We start from the raw sequence: 21,329 nt of genomic DNA, 5'->3' as shown, positions 1-21,329 counted from the left end.
AGACATACTTGAGACTGGGTAATTTATAAGTATGTATCAAGTCATACTTGAGACTGGGTAAAGTCTTTTTTTTATGAAGAAGAAAAGGTGTAATGTACTCACAGTTCCACGTGGCTGGGGAGGCCTCACAATCATGGTGGAAGGCAAAAGCCACCTCTTACATGGTGGCAGGCAAGAGAGAAATGAGAACCAAGATAAAGGGGAAATACTTTATAAAACCATTAGATCTTGTGAAGCTTATTCACTACCATGATAATGGTATGGGGTAACCTACTCCCATGATTCAATTACCTCCCACCTGGTCCCTCTCACAACACATGAAATTATGGGAGCCACAATTCAAGATGATATTTGGGTGGGGACACAGCCAAACAGTATCATCCTGGCCCCTCCCAAATCCCACATTCTCACATTTCAAAATGAATCATGCCTTCCCAAAAGTCTCCCAAAGTCTTAGCTCATTTCAGCATTAACTCTAAAGTCCACAGTCCAAAGTCTCATGTGAGACAAGGCAAGTTTCTTCCACCAATGAACCTGTAAATCAACGGCAAGTTGTCACTTCCTAGATATAATGGGGTTACAGGAATTGGGTAAATACAGCCATTCTAAATGGGAGAAATTGGCCAAAGGGGATACAGGCCACATATAAGTCCAAAATCCAGCAGGGCAGTCAAATCTTAAATCTCCAAAATGATCTCCTTTGACACCCTGTCTCACAGCCAGGTTACGCTGATGCAAGAGGTGGGTTCCCATGGTCATGGGCAGCTCCACCCCTGTGGATTTGCAGGGTACAGCCTCTTTCTTGGGCTGGTGTTGAGTGTCTGTGGCTTTTCCAGATGCACACTGCAAGCTGTCAGTGGATCCATCATTCTGAAGTCTGGAGGGCGGTGGCCCTCTTCTCACAGCTCCAGTAGGCAGTGCCCCAGTGGTGACTCTGTGTGGGGGCTTCAACCCCACATTTCCCTTCTGCACTGCCCCAGCAGAGGTTCTCTATGAGGGCATCGCCCCTGCAGCAAACTTCTGCCTGGACATTCAGGCATTTCAATACATCCTCTGAAATCTCGTCAGAGGTTTCCAAACTTCAATTCTTGACTTCTGTACACTCACAGGCTCAACACCATGTGGAAGCTGCCAAGGCTTGGGGCTTGCACCCTCTGAAGCCATGACCCAAGCTGTACCTTGGCCCCTTTTAGCCATGGCTAGAGCAGCTGGGATGCAGGGAACCAAGTCCCTAGGCTGCACACAGCAGGGGGGCCCTTGGCCCAGCCCACAAAACCATTTTTTTTCCCTAGGCCTCTCAACCTGTGGTGGGAGGGGCTGTCACAAAGGTCTCTGACATGTTCTGGAGACATTTTCCCCATTGTCTTGTTGAGTAACATCTGGCTTCTCCTTGCTTATACAGATTTCTGCAGCTGGCTTGAATTTCTCCTCAGAAAATGGGCTTTTCTTTTCTATGGCATTGTCAGGCTGCAAATTTTCTGAACTTTTATGCCCTGTTTCCCTTTTGAAACTGAATGCTTTTAACAGCGTATATGTCACCTCTTGAATGTTTTGCTGCTTAGAAATTTCTTCTGCCAGATACCCTAAATCATCTCCCTCAAGTGCAAAGTTCGACAAATCTCTAGGGCAGGGGCAAAATGCCACCAGTCTCTTTGCTAAAATATAGCAAGAGTCACCTTTACTCCAGCTCCCAAGAAGTTCCTCATCTCCATCTGAAACCACCTCAGCTTGGATTTCATTGTCCATATCATTATCAGAATTTTGGTCAAAGCCATTCAGCAAGTCTCTAGTGAGTTCCAAACTTTCCCACATTTTCCTGTCTTCTTCTGAGTCCTCCAAACTGTTCCAACCTCTACCTGTTACCCAGTTCCAAAGCTGCTTCCACATTTTTTAATATTTTTACAGCAGCACCCCACCCTACTAGTACCAACTTACTGTATTAATCTATTCTCACATTGCTGATAAAGACATATACAAGTCTGGATAATTTATAAAGAAAAAGAGGTTTAATGGACTCACAATTCCACATGGCTGGGGAGGCTTCACAATCATGGCTGAAGGTGAAAGGCACGTCTTACAAGGTGGCAGATAAGAGAGAAATGAGAACCAAGGGGAAGGAGTTTCCCCTTATAAAACCATCAGATTTCATGAGACTTATTCATTACCATAAGAACAGTGTGGGGGAACCCACTCCCATGATTCAGTTATCTCCCACCTGGTCCCTCCCACAACACATGGGACTTATGGGAGCTAAAATTCAAGATGAGATTTGGGTGAGGACACAGCCAAACCATATCACTGGTTAATTTAGAAAAGACTTTAGAAACTACCATTCCCATACCCTTGTTACTAGAGAAGTGCTCATGTTGGGAATCACTCAGACCTTGACCTTGTCTAGCAACTTTTATTTCATAATGGCTCTAAGTGCCTTATCTCATTTGAGTCCTGTGTACCTACAAGCCTGTTATCCAATGAACATCCTCAACCCCACCTTGGAAACTTTCCCTGGGCACCTAATAAAACTAAACTGTGTCCAGGCACTCTTTCCAAGCAGGACAGGCTGTGCACAAACCCAGTTTCCCACAAGATCAGCAGGTGCTAAGAGCTGACATGTGAGGTCCAAGTGCTTGGGGCTGAGGCAGTCTATTTGTCCCCTGGTGCAAGGCCTGTTCTAACAATCTCCTATTTAAAAAGAAAGTAAGGTCAGCATGGTAACTCATGCCTGTAATCCCAGCACTTTGGGGGGCCAAGGCAGGCGATCACCTGAGGCGAGGTCAGGAGTTCAAGACCAGTCTGGCCAATATGGCGATACTCTGTCTCTACTAAAAATACAAAAATTAGCCAGGCGTGGTGGTGCATGACTGTAATCACAGTTACTCTGGAGGCTAAGGCTTGAAAATCACTTGAGCCTGGGAGGTGGAGGTTTCAGTGAGCCAAGATCCTGCCACTGCATTCCAGCCTGGGCGACAGAGCAAGACTTTGTCTCAACAAATAAATTAATAAAATTAAATAAAAGTAAAGGAAAGCAAAAGAGGGTGAGGTCCCTCTTCTAGAGCCCATGCCCAGTGTGCATGGCTGAGATGTTTCCCACTGCCAAGAGGAAGGAGGGCCCACCACACCAGGGACACTGCTGGCGTTCACCTGAGCCCTACCCACAAGAGGCCTCCAAAAAAAAAAACAACCAGTGTAACAGATATGGAGAACTATCTCCTTTAGTGATACTCAATCTTATCTCTAATTACAGTGTCATCAGGAGTCCAAGTTGCACCCTCAGCTTTATCCATCACTGGGATTCAGAAATGTCTGGCAGGCAATTTATTAAAAAGTAAATTGACAAAGGTTATGAGGGAGTTCTGAAGAAATGTCCAAAATATGGAAAAATATTTCAGTTTACCACTAATTAAAAATAAAAATATAATAGCATTTCATATCAAAATTAGCAAAATTATTACAAAACAATTTATTAGAACTCAGTCTAACTTAGGCCATGTCTACATTGTTGGCATATAAAGACTTTGAAATGCAACATAAATACATGTAACTTGATCCATATCAATTTGATCAATATTCCTACTTTTTGACCTAATCATTCCAGGTAATTTATATTAAGAAAATAATATATTCTTTAAAATAGTCATTGCAGCATTATCTAACCTATATTTTTTGAAAAAATTAAGTAAACTATTAAAATCAATAAAATATTATGTAGGTTTTAAAAAACAATAGCAATGAACTCTATGTAACTACAAGGAAAAATATTTATAACATTATTAACTAAAAATTTAGATTCAGAAATGTACAATTTCTATAATTACATACAATATGATTGTATACCAATGAAAATGGAAAGAAAACAATATGCTAAAATGAAGTTAGCTATTCTCTTAGACTTATAAATTGGGATAATTTATGTATTTTTAAAATTCATTTAACTCTGGGCAATAAAAATATATTTAACTGGACAATTAGCTTTTGGACATTATTGCAAATTCCATAAACAACAAAATATATTTTATTTTGCCACACTAAAATATAACAAAATCAAAGATATTTTGCTTAAATACTTAGAAAGTATAGAATAATGGACAAGTCACTTAACCTTTCTGAACTTTTATTTCCTCCTTTACAAAATGGATATGATAATACCTGTCACTTCTATCTCACTGGTTTTATACCACTCAAGTGAGTCAATGCATATAAAATTGCTTATCAATTATGTGTTAAAAATAGAATTTGATAGACCTAGATGTTGAAAGTTTAATTTAAAATTCATACAATGGGGAGATTTTTATCCTTAAACTATATTCCACCATTATTTGGAAATTGATAGCTAGAATAAATATAACAACAATTATTTAATTAATAAACACTAAGTTTCAGGCAAGAGTTGACACTTTACATGCATTTTTCCTTCATCTTTTGTAACAATTAGTAAGATAGATATATTCAGGAAACTGAGGCTAAAGGATGGTTAGGGAATTCACCAAAGACAATATAGTCAATAATGACCAATACCTAATTTAGCCAGAGTTCAAGTGAAAATTTCAGGTTGACTAAAAGCCCAATTATCAACCAATTATGTGATGCTAATTTGTTGCAGTTTCTGTAGTCTTAGCCTATATTAGTAGAAGTGTCATATTTTGAAAGCAGATAACAATATCACAACCACACTCAGGGATCACAAAATGTCAGGGTTAGGGTCATATGTAGAAGCCATTTTTGAGAAGATACATCAATAAGCAATAAAACCAGAAAAGCAGACACAATGGTAAAGAATTTGGAAACCATACCATAGAAAAAGCAATTGAAGAAATCGGTGATGGTTTGAAATGGAGAGAAACAAAATATAATCATAGGGCTGCCATCTTGAAGTAGACTCATATTATTCCTTTTGGCATAAAGAACCATAAATCAACACTTGGAATGGTAGATCACAACAATCCTTTCTAAGAAAGAAGACTATCTTCCTAGGCAGTGAGCTTATAGTAGAAGTCATTGTTATCGATTACTGCCTAGCTTAAACTGCAAACTATAAAATGGGTCAATGTAGGGTGGTTTGTGTGTGCTGGTGTGTGTGCACATTTGTGTTTGTATATGAATGGTTAGCAGAATGCTAAAAATTCAAGATATCAGTCACCAGTGTAAAACTTAATTACCCTCTAAGGAAGATTTTTGTGAAATGTAATGGAAAAAGAATGCAGTGGGCCTGAGAATATCTTGTGAAAATTAAAGAGTGTGACCAGGATCTTAAGAGCCATGTGAGCACAAGAGTGTATTAAAAAAAAAAAAATTGAAATAGCACATTGCTGAGAGAGGGAAAAAAAAACCTCTACAATCAATACATGAGACTTCCAGTTGGAAGGTCAATTTTACTTGTATTAATACTTCTTCATGGTCTCAAGGTGGGCATCAACAGAATATTTTTAAAAATCTATCATTAGAGGTCTTCACATAGAAGCTGAAGTACCTATTGCAAGAGAAAAAATTCCTGCAAAGGGCAAGAGATGGGCTCACATAAACTTGAAGAAGGCTTCAAACCTCAATATCAAGAATTCAATGATTTGCGTATTTTTAGTTGTATTACTCTTCTGAAAAAGATATGTTATCACATATAATCACAATAAATGTGACTATATATTATAGTCACATTTATTTTAAGTTATACCAAGCTGTCTTCATATAAATGAAGTTTGGGGTAGGGGTTTGGTAAAACTTGACATAACAAGATACAGAAATTGAATTGTTGTTGTTATTGCTTTTAATCTGGATTATTTGGCTCTTTTATCTTGCACCTTCTTTCTGAATAGTTTTTTAGGTATCTTTATTGCCTTTACTAGAGTAAAAAGTACCTCAAGTACATTCTTTACTATGTACAGCCAGAACAGGGTCCAGCATAAAATTTTGCATAAAAAAAGAATACCATGCATACATATAAGATAGATGAGTGAATGAAATGGTAGGACAGCAGCTATCCTCGATTTCCATAAGTGGAATGAAATATAAGTCCATCATGTTTAATAAATAGCCTTTATTACCTTCATAAATTTTCTTTCTGAAGAATTCTTCTTATAAGTTAACATTTGTTAAATAAATGCTATTTTTTCATTGATTTCTATGATACATTTCAAAAGGCTTTCATTCATTTATGTGCAATTAATCTCAAATGGAAAATAACCTTTAATAACCTATAACCCTTTAACTATATGTCTGTCTGAAAGCTTCACCATTAAGTTTTAACAATTGAAAAAAACTAAATATCAGGGAAGAGTACAGAAAGTTAAAACCATAATCAATTATCAAAACAATTCTGCATTGAGAAAAATCAGAGTAATGAAACAGAAAACACAAGAGCTTTCTGTGTGGACCCTGGCTTATGTACCTAACTTTTTCTGTGCCTAAATTTTCTGGTTTAGAAAATAAAAAAGTACCTGTTGCATAGGACCTAGTTGGTGTGAGAATTAAAATATTATACCAAATAGCCTGCCACAGAATAAATATTCACTAAATGAAATTTTATTTCTTTAGTCTCTAGATTGCAGAGTACAAGGCATTTTTGTGTGACCCTAGTACTCTGGGGATGGTGGAGGAAGAAAGAACAGAAGTTTTTTTTTTAGAACCGTGACCATTAAGCCGTTAATTCCCACTGTTATGGACTGAACTGTGTCCTCCCCTAAAATTTATATGTTAAAGCCCTAACCCCCAGTGTGACTGTATTTGGGGATGGAGCCTGTAAGGAAGTAACAAAGGTTAAGTGAAATCACAAGGGTTCTAATGCAATAGAACTGATGTCTCTATAAGAGGAGGAGGAAACATCGGAAGCACAGGTGAAAGGCCATGTAAGGAGATAAAGCCAGAAAGTGGTCATCTGCAAGCCAGCAACAGCCCCCTCACCAAAAACCAACCCTGACCACACCTTGATGTTGGCCTTCTAGGTTCCAGAACTATGAGAAAATAAATTTCTGTTGTTTAAGCACCCATTCCTATGGTATTTTATTATGGCAACCTGAACAGACTAATACATCCACACATAAGAGTTCTAGCCTATAATTAGAGTTGGGGGTGAAGCAGGCGAACACCCCATGGTGTTACTGGAAATTAAAGTATCCGTCTGACAATTCATATTTTTACAAGAAGATGAAGATAGAGGTTATTTGCATTGCATGGCATGACAAGCTGGAATTCTGATTCCTACCTGTTATTCCAGGACCGCTGTTTTTCTCTTGCCATGAAATTCACCTATCCAAGTAGAAATTGACTTCCTGGCCATGGATTCATCAGCCCCATGTTCACCCACGGACAGACCTTGTGCCTTGCCTTCACCATACAGCATACGCATATTTCTTTACCCTGCCTCCTTCCCCACTTTTCTGATGCTAACCCCACAGCAAATACAGTTACTAAAGGAAGACCACATATTGTCATTCATTTGTTTTCCCATCAGATAAATCATGTCTTAAGCAGTAAGCAAGCCTTTAATTTCTGCCACAACAGAGAAATACGTTTGTCATCATTTATAGGCTATAATTGAGGGTTAGCTTTAAGTAGCATTTTTACATATTATTGAGCAGAAATTATTATCTCTATAATTGGTGGTTCTGGGGCTGCTTCTGAATTTACACAGAGCCGCATTCTCTACTGAAATGTCAGGAAATATGCTACAAGCAACACTTGCCAAGACAGAAAGCAGACGTGCCCCTTTCAAAAGCCCTTCCCACATTTAGTGAAGGGGTTTCCTAATGTCCATAGTCAGTCTTCCCCACCCAAAGAGTTGTGAAAAGGGGAAATATGGCTTTTGGAAATAACCCTCCTTCTTAACTTTCTCTTTCTTCAGAAGTGCCCCATTTAATAGCATAAGGCTTTACTCCTTGAGCATGGACTCACACAAAGTTTTTCGGGAGTAATTCCCCTTCCTAGAAGCCTGTGAATTCTACAAGAATGCTCCAGAGAAGGCAACGTGTAAGCTCCTGTGTGCACAGTTCTGTCTTAGTTTATATTCCAACAGAAGAGAATCCTGAGATGAAGATAAAGAATTTATTTGAAAGGCAATTCTAGAAAACTGGTAGGAGAGTAGGGAGGTGAAGTAATAAAGGGCTAACAAAGGGTGTGTCCTCAAGAAAGTTGCCACTGTAGACAACTGGAGCTTAATTTATCTTGGGAACTAGAAAATAGTTTAGAACATGGGCCTCAAAGCTATCCCACTTCATGAGGACAGGAATGTGGGTATTTACTACCCACCCAAAGGGAAATGGAGAATATATGGGCAATGTTGGCTTGCTCAGTGGCTTCAACAGCCAGATAACACTCAGGCAGAGCTGCAGGTGCAGGTAGACTGAAGTTTGGAAGTCATGTATGAAGCATCATTGCCACAGGGATGTAGGTAGGGAATTGACAATGTCAGCTAAAAGGTCCTATTTCTCATTGATTTATTCATGAATTACCTGCTTCCTTAAAAAGTGATTTGAATCTCACAAACGTACATTTAGTGAGATAAAATCGTATTGCATGGTTTGTAATAAACCTAAGAGCCTCCTAACAGTGAGAAATTTTAAACTATATATAGATTCTTGAAGAGGTTAATATGCTTGAATAGTTTATGGATCTTCATTATAATCACAACATAATCTGATTAGCAATCTTTGACAAAAGAATTTTCTAAACAAATGCAAACTTCAGCCCAAGTGCTATTTGAACACCTCAAATACTAGCTAACCAAGATCGAATTTGTAAAGGATTTTGTTGGTTGGTCTGCTGCTTTTCTATATGACAGTAACTTTTTAAGTGGTCACTGCACAGTAGCTCACAGAAATTTAGTTGTTTTATATTTTTCAAACTGATAATGCAGCTTTTCAGAAATTGTCTCTGCCCAGAATGCAGCTTTCTGTAACTCCTTCCTGGCTACCTAATAGTATATAAAGGACTTTCCATCTGATCTGATCAATCCTGGAAAACAAGCTGCCTTTAACTGCCAACCACAGTTTCAGAATGCCTGAGGCTAACAGGAAACTTTTTCTATGACCTTATTGAAGATATTTAAAAATAGAATACTTGTCCTTCTTTCCCAGTACCTTCCTGGGCTTTCATAACAGACTGAGGAGGCAATAAGAAACTGCTTGAAAGAAATTCCATCAGTGTGGCATATTCCATATAGAGAGTCTCTTAAAGTCTAAAGAAAGCATTTGTTGTTTGCATTCCTGAATGTCTGCTTGATTAGTCAAACCTTTTTTTTTTTTTTTTTTTTGAGACTGAGTCTCACTCTGTTGTCCAGGCTAGAGTGCAGTGGCACAATCTTGGCTCACCACAACCTCCTCCTTCCCCATTCAAGTGAGTTCCCTGTATCAGCCTCCTGAGTAGCCGGGATTACAGGCACCTGCCACAGCTAATTTTTTGCGCAGCTAATTATTTATTTATTTATTTATTTTAGTAGAGACAGGTTTTCACCATGTTGGCCAGGCTGGTCTTGAACTCCTGACCTCAGGTGATCCACCCGCCTCAGCTTCCCAAAGTGCTGGGATTACAGGCTTAAGCCACTGTGTTTGCCCTGTTTTCTAAATTAAAGAAATATGCATTGCATAATTTTGACCAAGTCAGGTAACTGGACTTTCAAAATAATTATTTAAGTTTTTCAAAGGCAATAATTCATTAAATCTTGACTAGTTGCTTTGTGTGAAACAGGGGTTCAAATTTCTATAACTACCTTAGTGAATATTATATCAGTTGTCAAATTTGTCCCAAGTGCTGTAATTGCTCATACTCAAAATTTTTGTTGTTTTATTCCAAGACCTAAAAATATAGATTGGAAAATTCTTTATTCTTTTAGATGCCTTAACCAGCTGAATTGGAACAGTCAATGGTGAGTGATTCAAGATTTATTGAACACTTGTTACACAGGCAACCTGTGCTTGGCTTTGTGCAGAAGAGAGAAAAACAAAGGAAAAAGAAAGGGAAGGACCCTGTATCATTGTGCTGTGTGCTTTGGCTACATTGTGTAATCTTCTCATCATTCATATGTAGTAGTTATTATCATGCTTGTTTTCCAGAAGAGAAGGAAGTAAGTTTCAAAGCTCAATATAAACTAAGACAGGCCTGTGCACACTTGAGCTTACACAGTGCCTTCTCTGGAGCCTTCCTGTAGAATTCTAGAAGAGAAGGAGCTAAGTCTCTAAATTCATCTGGGAAATGCACACCAATGTAACAAGTTCATATCTCCATAACTCAGCAGTCCATTTGCTTTATATCATATCTGCCTTCCAAAAGAAACCAAAAGATCACTTTGACTCTCCAAAACAGATTGCAAAAATATCAGTTTGGGAGCAATCTTCTTAACATCTTTATTGAAGTAAAATTGACATCCCCACACACAAAAAAAGCATTATGTCTAAAGTATACAATTTGATTAATTTTAACATACATTCATCACTGTGAAATCACCATCACAATAAAAAAAATAAGCAACCCAAAATCCTCACCTCCAAAGTTTCCTTGTAATTATTTGAAATTCTTTTCTCCTGTTTTTCATCCCACCTGCAGGCAATCACTGATCTGTTTTTTTCTAATTAGTGCTCATTTCCTAGAACATCATATAAATGGAGTCATACAATATGTATGCATTTTTAAATCTGACATCTTCCATGCAACATAGTTATTTTAAGATTTAGCAATGTTGTTGAATGTATCAATAGTCTACTCATTTTCGTTGCTAAAGATTATTCCTTTGTATGACTATACCACAATATGTTTATGCATTCAACTGTTGACGGATATTTAGGATGTTTCCAATTTAGGGTTACTGAAAACAAAGCTATATAAAAATTAATATGAAAGCTTTGTATGAATCTATGTTCTTTTTTTTTATGGTTAAATACTCAAGAGTAGAATAATAGGTCTTACGAGAGGTAGATTTTTAACTTTTTAAAAAACTCTCACACTGCTTTTCAAAATAGTTATACCATCTTACGTTCCAACCAGCAATATAGGAGAGTTCCAGTTGTTCCACATTGTTGTTAACACTTGGTACTCTCAGTCTTCTTATTTTAGTTATTACAACAGAGTGTAGTGGTATCTCACTATGGCTTTTAATGTGTATTTTCCTAGTGACTAATAATATTATGACTATTTGCCATTTGAACATCTTCTATGGTGAAGTGTCTCTAAAATTCTTCACCCATTTTTTTAAATTGGGTGTTTTGTCTTCCTCTTATTTAGTTGTATGAGCACTTTATATATTCTAGATGCAAGTTCTTTTTTCTATATATGTTTTACTATGTTTTTCCCAAAGTGGGCCTTTGTATTATCCTTTTTATGACAGTGTATTTTGAACAGCAAATGTTTTTAATTTTGATGAAGTCCAATACATCAATAATTTTTGTAGATTGTGCCTTTGTATTGTCTTTAAGAAATATTTACTAAACTGTAAGTCACTAAGATGTTTTCCTGTGTTTTATTTTTAATGTTTTATACCTTTAGCTCATATTTAAGAATAAAACATATTTCAAGTTAATTTTTCCATACGGTGTGAGACAAGGATTGAGGTTCCTTTTTTTTTCTTTTACAGATAGCTATCCAATTATTTCAGCACTATTTGTTGAAAAAAATTATCCTTTCCCCATTGAATTTCTTTGGCACCTCTGTAAAAAATAAATTAACCATATACATGTGGATCTGCCTTCAAAGAAAAACCCTAAGGTACCTTTAAAATTATAGAACAGATTGTGAAAATATCAGATAGGACAGCATTTTTTTTAATGTATTGTAGAATAATTCATTGAAAAGATGAGTTGACATGACTGTTATGCTTTGAATCTGAATCTGCAATGCTCATTAATAATTTCACAAGTTTGGCACCAAAAATTTGTTCATCAAAGAATATGTTCAAGTTCTTTCTTTGAGAGGTCTATAGGCCAGAAGGAATAGGAAGCATATTTAATTCATACCCACCATACCAAATAGAAGCTGGTAAGGGCGATAAGAGAGGGACAGTTAAAAGTATTCAGAGACATTAAGAAAGGTGAAAGAATTAGAAAAGAATTTTCTAAAAAAATTCCCAGTTAGGGTATTCAGGGGAGCCTTCTCACTGAAGAGGACAGAAGGGTAGGATTTGCACACATAGAAGTGAGAAAAAGTGAATTCCAGCAGGAATAAAATACATGAGCAGAGGCATGAAGACAAAAAAACACGGGGCACATCACAAGAATAAAATGTAAACTGAAGAAAAATGTGAGTAATAGTATGTTTTCCATTCCACAATATTCCTTGCAGATAAGGATGTTTAAAGAGTTACCTTATCTGGAGGGAAATGAACCAGTAAAAAAAAAATACAAAAACAAAAAAAAACACAAAAAACAGAATTCCAAATTCCAATATCTTGCCCAGTCCACCATTCAATCAATTTAAACTGGAAAATTCAAAGAAAATAAATAATTTATTTCTTTAAAACAGTTTAACATTTCAGGTAGAAAATATATAAAAGCAGATACCCAGGTCAAACCACCTTTCTCCACAAAGTCTTCCCTAGATTTTTCCAGAACTTGAGCTTCTCTGAATACTAACAACTTCATTACAGCATCTTATCAAGATACAGTAGTTCCCTCTTATCCAAGAGGGATACATTCCAAGACCCCAAGTGGATGCCTGAAACTACAGCTTGTAATGAATCCTGTATATACTACTTTTTTACTATACTTACACACCTATAATAAAATGTAATTTATAAATTACACACAATAAGAGATTAACAACAATAACTAATAATTATAATAATATTACAGCATCACTACTACTGTGGCTTGGGGCTATCATTAGGTCAAATAAAGGTTACTTGAACACAGAAACTGCAGTACCATGACAGCTGATCTGATAACCCAGACAGTTCCTAAGTGATTAATGGGCAGTGAGTGTCTACAGCCTGCATGCTGGACAAAGGGATGATTCATGTGCTGGGCAGAATGGGAAATTTCATCATGCTATTCAGAATGGCGCCCAATTTAAAACGTATGTATTGTTTATTTCTGGAATTTTCCATATGTTTTTAGATTGTGGTTGACTTCAGAAACCACAAAAAGTGAAACTCTGGATTTCACCTGGACTATTAGATACCAGATATTCTCCTGTGTATTTAGTCTTGCCTCATAAGTAAATATGTCTCTTCCTTGTTTGAATACACAATTCTACCTTTTGGCTGATAAAATTTCTCAGAGTGCACTTTTAGTTTACATATATACAGGAAATATCTTCTTCCAGAAATATTTTTGTTTTGTGATTCATCCAGCAAAGGTTGTGAATGTTGTTGGAATTAAGGTTATTTCTCAAAGGCTAATCTGTTTGTGGTTTGTTTTGAAGCAGCATGCTATCATCCTTTTTATAGCTCCATATCAGCTTTATGTATAATTCAATCAATACCTTGGGGCACACTATTTGATGATTACAATAAAAAAGAGATCTATTTTGTTGTTCTTTGTGAAGCTACTTTCATTATCACGTGTCACTCAGTTACAAGAGTTTATGGGACCATTTACACCCAATGGACACTTTAAACATGCGGTTTTTATGACAAGTAAACTCCAAGATAAATGAAAACATTTTAAAAAGATATTAGGAGCCTTTCCTTGGTCTTTGATTGATATGAATTGGGGTAGTAAAAAGGATTTTCTTTTGTATAGCCCTGCCTGTTACAAGTCGCCAGAGAAATGGTGCTGAGATGAAGTGCTCCAAATAGCTAATGGCCTGGGCTTGTTCACTCAGTACCAGCAGGGTCCCTAAAGCTGAAAATAAAAAATGAAAAATAGGCAAATGATTTTTTAACCAATATACAAATACTTCAGGTCACCTAAACACATTTTGCACACTTTCTACAAGACTAGTTCAAATGTGGTCAATAGCTACCCCTCTGCTCTCAAATAGCAACCCCCATCAATTAGTGCTCCCCAAAGCATTATTTTTAATAGAGCAATGAACTGTTTATTACAAATAGTTACAAATACATTGATTTGTTTTGTGTTTTTATTCTTTTTTTAAGTTAATTTCAACTTTTATTATTGATTAACGGGCACACACACAGGTTACATGGGGTTAAATTGTGTGATGCTAAGGCTTGGAGTCCCCGTAATCCAGTCACCCAGGCAGTAAGCACAGTACCCAACAGATAGTTCTTTAGCCCATGCCTCTCTCTCTTCCCTTGACTTCTAGTGGTCCCCAGTGTCTAATGTTCCCATCTTTATGTTCATGTGTATCCAGTGTTTAGCTACTGCTTATAAGTGAGAACACGTGGTATTTGGTTTTCTGTTCCTGTGTTAGTTTACTTCGTATAATGACCTCCAGCTCTATCCATGTTGCTGCATATTACGATTTTCTTCTTTAAATCTACACAGTATTCCATGGTGAATATGTTCCACATTTTCTTTATCCAATCCCTTGTTGGTAGGCACCTAGGTTGATTCCATGTCTTCCCTATTGTGGATAATGCTGCAATGAACATACGAATGCACGTGTCTTTTTGATAGAATAAATTATTTTCCTTTGGGTATGTACCCAGTACTGGGATTGCTGGCTGGAATGATAGTTTTATTTTAAGTTCTTTGAGAAATCTCTAAACTCTTTCCATGGTGACTGAACTAGTTTGCATTCCCACCAACAGTGTATAAGCATTCCCATTTCTCCACAGCCTCGCCAACATCTGCTGTTTTTTGACTTTCCATTTTATTTATTTGTATTTATTTATTTATTTTGAGACAGAGTCTTGCTCTGTTGCCTGGGCTGGAGTGCAGTGGTGTGATCTTGGCTCACTGAAACCTCTGCCAGGTTCAAATGTTCAAGTGATTCTCCCTCCTCAGCCTCCCAAGTACCTAGGATTACAGGCATGCATCACCACACCCAGGTAATTTGTATATTTTTTTGTAAAGATGAGGTTTTGCCATGTTGGCCAAGCTGGTTTAGAACTCCTGGCCTCAAGTGATCCACCCACCTCGGCCTCCCGAAGTGCTGGGATTACAGGCGTGAGCCACTGAGCACAGCCTTGTTTTTTGACTTTTTAATGATAGCATTCTCACTAGTGTGAGATGATATTTCACTTTAGTTTTGATTTGCATTTTTCTGATGATTGGTGATGTGAGCATTTTTTCCTGTTTCTTGGCCACAAAAGCATCATTTCTTGAGTCATTAATCTATTTTGGTCTCTAAGAAAATCATTTAAAATGCAAGCCCCTTTAATTGGACAAAATTGAATATGAACTATGTGTTAGGTAGTACCATTGTATCAATGTTAATTTTTTTAATTTGATGAATTTTACTGTGTGGTTATGTAAGCAAAAAAAAAAAAGAAAAGGTTTGTGTTCTTATGAGCTGTATGCTGAAGGGATGAAGAGTCGTGACCTCTGCAAATTACTCTCAAATGGTAGAGCAAGATGATAATAATATAATAATCATCAAGATTATAATAGTTATGAGAATAAATATTGTGGATGTTTTATGTAAAAGAGAAAGAGATAAAGCAAATGTGGCAAGATGTTAACAACGGATTGCATTTAAGTGAAGGAATATGGGAGTACAATGTAATATTCTGGAAACTTTTCCTTAGGTGTGAAAAAATTTTAATAAAAAATTTATTTGAGCAGGACTAAGGATCCACCTGACCAAAGAAGCACCCACAGAAAATGGTACCCAAGTGGTACCTAAAGGAGCAACTGTCCCCTGAATGCCCCTTTGCCAGGTCTGTCCCATAGACCCTGGCCAAGTGAGGGATGAAAGGAGTACTCAGACACAGGTATGCAGTGTAAGAGCAGCTAGGGGACTGCCCAGCACTAGTGGCAGAAGAGTGAGTCGTCCTGAACAGCTGGAGCTGCTTGCTTTTATTCAGTACAGACATAATGTCTAAAGCCTGGAGCAAACACAATCTGCAGGTAATTAACATTATTGTTCCCCCTTTCAGGGAGCAGTCACGCATGCAGATGATCAAACGTCAGTTTCCAGACAACATAAGTAAACAAGCCTATTTAAGATAAATTCCCCTACACACCCTTGTACCTATTTCTTCACCCTCTGCATCAAGGTCAGAGAACAGCTGCCTTCAGCTTATTCTCCTCTAAAGCTATGCAGAGCCTTCCAACCTTTCAGAAGGCCTGTTCCTTTCCCTATAGCTTCTCCCACAACTCTGACTGATCTGCTATACCCCTTAGCAATTTATTTCTTTAAACTAAGCCATTGCTGTGCTACATCTACTCCAGTATCTGTAAACCTCCAGCACACTCCTTAGCATCCCTGACTATCCATTCTAGTCATTGTCATCACATGACTTGCTGGCATTTTCTTCACCTCCAGGTTAACCTGTTGACAATATCTATCTATCCTGAGTTGCTGTCTAGGAAGATGTGTCTTTATCACATCCCTTACCCACCCACCAATTGTCAACAGGCCAATAGCATATTCCATCTTCCTTCCTCCAGGATCTGCTCCATCAGTGATGCTCGCCCCTCTTGTGAGGCCACACTTACTTCTCCACTCAGCCTCTTGCTAGTTTTCCCCTCCTCTTGACCCCACCCTGCCTCCCAGCATATGTATGATCTCCTTTCACAACTTTTGAAGTATAAATAAAGGTGACAATGAGGTACCCTCAACTAAGAAACTGGGGAGTGGGGAGGAAATGAGAATTAAACTACAATCATGTATGGATCACATGTTATGGATCAAAGTGGAAACCTACAAGTTACTTTAAAGAGACTTAGTGGTTCTAAAGTCAAAGACTTGGCAAAAACGGGATAAGTAATATCAGTATAGTTATAGAAACAGTGTGGTAATTACCTAGAAGGTAAGTTCAGAAACACAGTAAAGGGGAAACAAAGACAAAACTATGGTGATAGAAATCAGAACAGTGGTTGCCACAGAGTAGAGGGAATGGAGGAGATTGATTATAAAATGGCAAAGGGGAACATTTTAGGGTGATGGAAATAGTCTAAATCTTGGTTATGGTAGAGATTACAAGACTGTACACATTTGTCAAAACTCATCGAATTGCACTTATAAAATTAGTAAATTTTACTGTAGGCAAATATAAGTCAACAAAGTTAATTTTAAAAGTATACCAGTTTTTATTAGTAACAAGATTGGGAGGACACAGCTCACAACTGATTACCACATACCTATAGGAAAGACACCCTGTTTATGAAGCTGTATAATGAAAATGTGTACACTCTTCTGCTATACCCCTCAGGGTCAAAGTGCCCTTCCCAGTCAGTGGTAGTTGCTCGGAAACTGCTTTCCTCTGGGAGCTTCTAGCCTGCACAGAAGCCTAACTGCATGATGTATCACAGTAAAATTGTCCTTTATTTGAATATACTGAGAATTTCCTTCTTGCACAGAGTATACTCATGACATTATAACCTTTTCGGAGAGCTGAAAGGACACACACAAACTTCTTATTTGTTATCAGATATCATTTCACCCACACTGAGCTTAAAATGACCAATAACAGCACTAAAAAGTATGTCCTTCATGTTTCTCTATTTCACTGGGGGTGGGAGGGTAAGACAAAGAAAAAAATGCTCTAATTGTATCCAGGATGGATTTTTCTCTTTTGTTAGGTTCAAATAACAAACCTAGGAAATTTTAAATCCTGGAAGTCCATCTGTCAGCATCTGGTTCCCCAGAGACCAAGAAAATGCTTTCATTTAGCTGAAGGCTGCTACTGGCAGCCACATACCCGCCTGAGAAAATACATCATTTTTTGCAAGTGTGAAAATGACTGCTAAGGGGAATAGGAGCCCTAGTTACATGCCCCATTTCAGAGCCTTCAGCCCCAGCTGCAGGGACCAAATAAGACAGTGATGGCCCTGGGGATTTAAGAATTCAGTTTCTCTCTGACAGCCTCAAAAACCCCAGGCCACATTGAGAAAGAAGAACTGCCTCTGTCACTAGCTCAGAAAACTCATCAATGGCAGGGGCCCAATCTTGGCTCCAAAGGAGCCGTTGCTGGCCCCTCACTTATCTTACCTATATGAGTGAACGCTGCCATAAAAGGTAGCTCTAGACCTACAGCTGCAGGCAAAGAAACTCTCTTCCTCTTGATTTACCATTCTCCTAAGCTGCCTGCCCACTCTCCAGCTTAGTAGAATTCCTGACCTTGCATCCCTGACTGCCATCTGCCCTGCCTCTTCCCACATCTCCCCTCCCACACATCTTGGCAACACCTAGACTGAACAGGCTCAGGCCCCAACATGATTCTACTGCTTCTTTCATATTCATGAATATGTTCAGAGATGTTTATTATTACCTAGATTTACAAATCATAGTTTAGCATATCGTTTCTGACATAAAATACAGAAAATTCTAAAAGAAAAAAATTCAGTGCCCCTTCAGACCTTCAATAAGAGTTACTATGTACAGTAAAATGATAAGAAAGGAAACCCTCAGCTATTCTGAGATGCAAATGCTAGGTGGTCAGCTAGGTCCACACTCAAGCTCATCACTGCCAGAACTTTTACACCTGGCTCTCAGCACATACAATTCAAATTTGTGCCTTAAACCTAGTGCAAGTGGCCAGGGAGCCCCAAAGTCTGAAACACAGAAAGCCAGGACTGTTAAATCTCAGACCACCGAGGCTCCTATATCACCACCAGCACCTGTCTACCCGTCAGGCCCATCCGGCTCCACAGAGAGTGGCAGCCCCAGGCTACATCAAGACCTCGATTTGACTAGCTGAACCCACCTGCACAAGGAGGGGAACAACAGACCCCTTGCTGTTAAAGGGGGCCCAGGCTTCATGTGTGTGCACAGCAGTTTGGCTGAAATGGAGACATTACAATTAATGCTCCTGATGGCCAGAGGCACAACCTTTTTCTCCCCTGCAGGTTGGAAAGTCCTCTTTCTGTTGTGATGGAGTCCTGTTGGTTTTCATTTATATTTTTCACTGTCACATTGCCTATTCTCTCCACCTCACTATCACAGGTCAGTCCCATTAAATCATGCCTAGATGGTTATGCTAACCCTTCCTGGCCTGGCTTCCCAGGCTCAACCCTAGGGGCCAGGTAGATGGACACTAAACCACCACCTATATTTTCCTCTTATATTATTTTTGAGAAACATCAGTGAGTCCCTTTGATTTAAATATTGTATTAGTCCATTCTCACACTGCGATAAGGATACTATCTGAGACTGGGTAATTTATAAACAAAGGAGGTTTAATTGACTTACAGTTACGCATGGCTGGGGAAGCCTCAGGAAACTTATAATCATGGCAGAAGGAGAAGCAGGCACCTTTTTCACTAGGAGGCAGAAGAGAGAAGTGCAATCAGGTGAAATACCAGACGCTTGTAAAACCATGAGATCTCGTGAGAACTCACTCACTATCACGAGAATTCCATGGGGAAAACTGCCCCCATGATCCAATCACTTCCCACCGGGTCCCTCCCTCGACACGTGGGGATTATGGGGATTACAATTTAAGATGAGATTTGGGTGGGGGCACAGCCAAACCATATCAAATATCAGCTCCAAATGTCTTGGCCCATCTTTCCGTGTCCCCCTACCCTACACAGCCTCTCTCACCATTTTCCAGAATGTACCTCCAACTCCAGCTGGACAGATTTACTCACTCTTCCTTGTTCGCTCGGATTGGTACTCATATCTTTCCTCCACGTCCAATTTTCTCCTTTCTTATCTCTGGTATAGAAACCACACCCTCCCCTTTTCTTTATGGCCCAGAACAAGACTTAGGTTCTCAGTGAAGCATTCCTGAAATGTCTTCAGCTGCCACTGTCTTTTCTTCCTTTTCTGGTGTCCTAATGCATCTGTAATTCACACCACACAGGTTAGCACTTCATTGTTTGCAAATTGTTTCACATGTGTGTTTTTTTTTGTACTTTGAGACTTACCCTGTATCACGCTAATACCTGCAGAGTGCTAGACACCTGTGGGAGACTTCCCAGTTGATTTCTGGGCTGAATCAATTTGCGAACAATTGTAAAATTCAGTAATCACCATGTGAAATATTCCCATTTCCCATGTGATTTGACATTTTTACCCAGGAGAACATCTCTCATCTTTTATGCTGCTACTCCACGGCTTTGATAAATAGAGTTCACCTCAAATCTCCCTTCAAACCATATTTAAACTTCCCCCCTTCCAGCAAAGACTCCAGGCTAGATTTCATTGAGCCAGTCAGCTTTGCTAATTTGTAACCAATTTTTGATTTACTAAATGGCAGCATTCAGCTGGAGGACAGATGGAAAAGCTGCAGGTAACTGCTGACCTTCTGATTAGAGGGATTAGATAACCATACCTGATTTCACATTCAGATTATCTACAGAGATTGGATATGAAAGATCTTTCCAAGGGTTAGAGGGAGGAAAGAAAGCATATGGCCCCAAAATGGCATGTGGCTGAAGGATTTATGAATTAACAGAAGAAGGGATTTATTATAACCTTCAAGGCAGATAAGAAATATGCTGGTGCTGTGCTTTTCTGAAAAGCTGAATGCCATTCTGAGAAGGCTGGTTCTAACAGGGAACTTTTATTCTCTAAATAAGTAGAATATACTATTACCAATCAGGGCTTTTGCTCCTAATGAGAGGTACTGATGGCTGCTATCACTAAAGCATCCTGAAAACCTGTGACTGCTCTGTGGCGAGCAGGCCAACTCCAGGCTCAATTGTGCAATACAGGGTGTTTGGTTTGGTTCCCGTCTCACTTCCCCTTTTCTTTCCTCCTTCCTTTGTGTCCATATCTCTTCCAAATCCCCTTCCCAGACCCTTCATGAATATCTCCCGTATTAGCCATCTGTGATGGTTACTACTGGATGTCAACTTGATTGGATTGAAGGGTGCAATGTATTGATTCTGGGTGTGTCTGTGAAGGCGTTGCCAAAGGAGATTAACATTTGAGTCAGTGGACTGGGAAACGCAGATCTACCTTCAATCTGGGAGGGCACCATCTAACCAGCTGACAGTGTAACTAGAATAAAAGCAAGCAGAAGAACGTGGAAAGATTAGGCTTGGCCAGGCACAGTGGCTCACACCTGTAATCGCAGAACTTTCGGAGGCTGAGGTGGGCGGATCACTTGAGGTCAGGAGTTCGTTCCAGACCAACTGGCCAACATGGTGAAACCCTGTATCTACTAAAAATACAAGAATTAGCCGTGTTGGCATGCACCTGTAATCTCAGGTACTGCGAGGCGGAGGCGGAGGTTGCAGTGAGCTGAGATCACGCCACTGCACTCCAGCCTGGGTGACAGAGGGCAACTCCATCTCAAAAAAAAAAAAAAAGATTAGACTGGCTTAGCCTCCAAGCCTACATCTTTCTCCCATATGCTGGATGCTTCCTGCCCTCAAACATTGGACTCAAGGTCC

At 38.7% G+C, this 21,329-nt stretch overlaps 1 long non-coding RNA gene across 5 annotated transcripts in view; it reads right to left on the bottom strand.

The window, feature by feature from the left end:
* Nucleotides 1–19,271, bottom strand: part of LINC00907 (long intergenic non-protein coding RNA 907) — a 504,759-nt gene extending 485,488 nt beyond the window's left edge. For all 5 annotated transcript variants that reach the window (NR_046174.2, NR_046454.1, NR_046457.1 and 2 more), the window contains exon 1: nucleotides 19,177–19,271. This is a non-coding gene — a long non-coding RNA (long intergenic non-protein coding RNA 907). The remainder of the gene's footprint in view (nucleotides 1–19,176) is intronic.
* Nucleotides 19,272–21,329: the final 2,058 nt, after the last annotated feature.

The sequence above is a fragment of the Homo sapiens genome, chromosome 18 (genome assembly GCF_000001405.40).
Source record: "Homo sapiens chromosome 18, GRCh38.p14 Primary Assembly".
NCBI classification, from domain to species: domain Eukaryota; kingdom Metazoa; phylum Chordata; class Mammalia; order Primates; family Hominidae; genus Homo; species Homo sapiens.
This window is presented reverse-complemented; position numbering and strand designations above follow the sequence as displayed.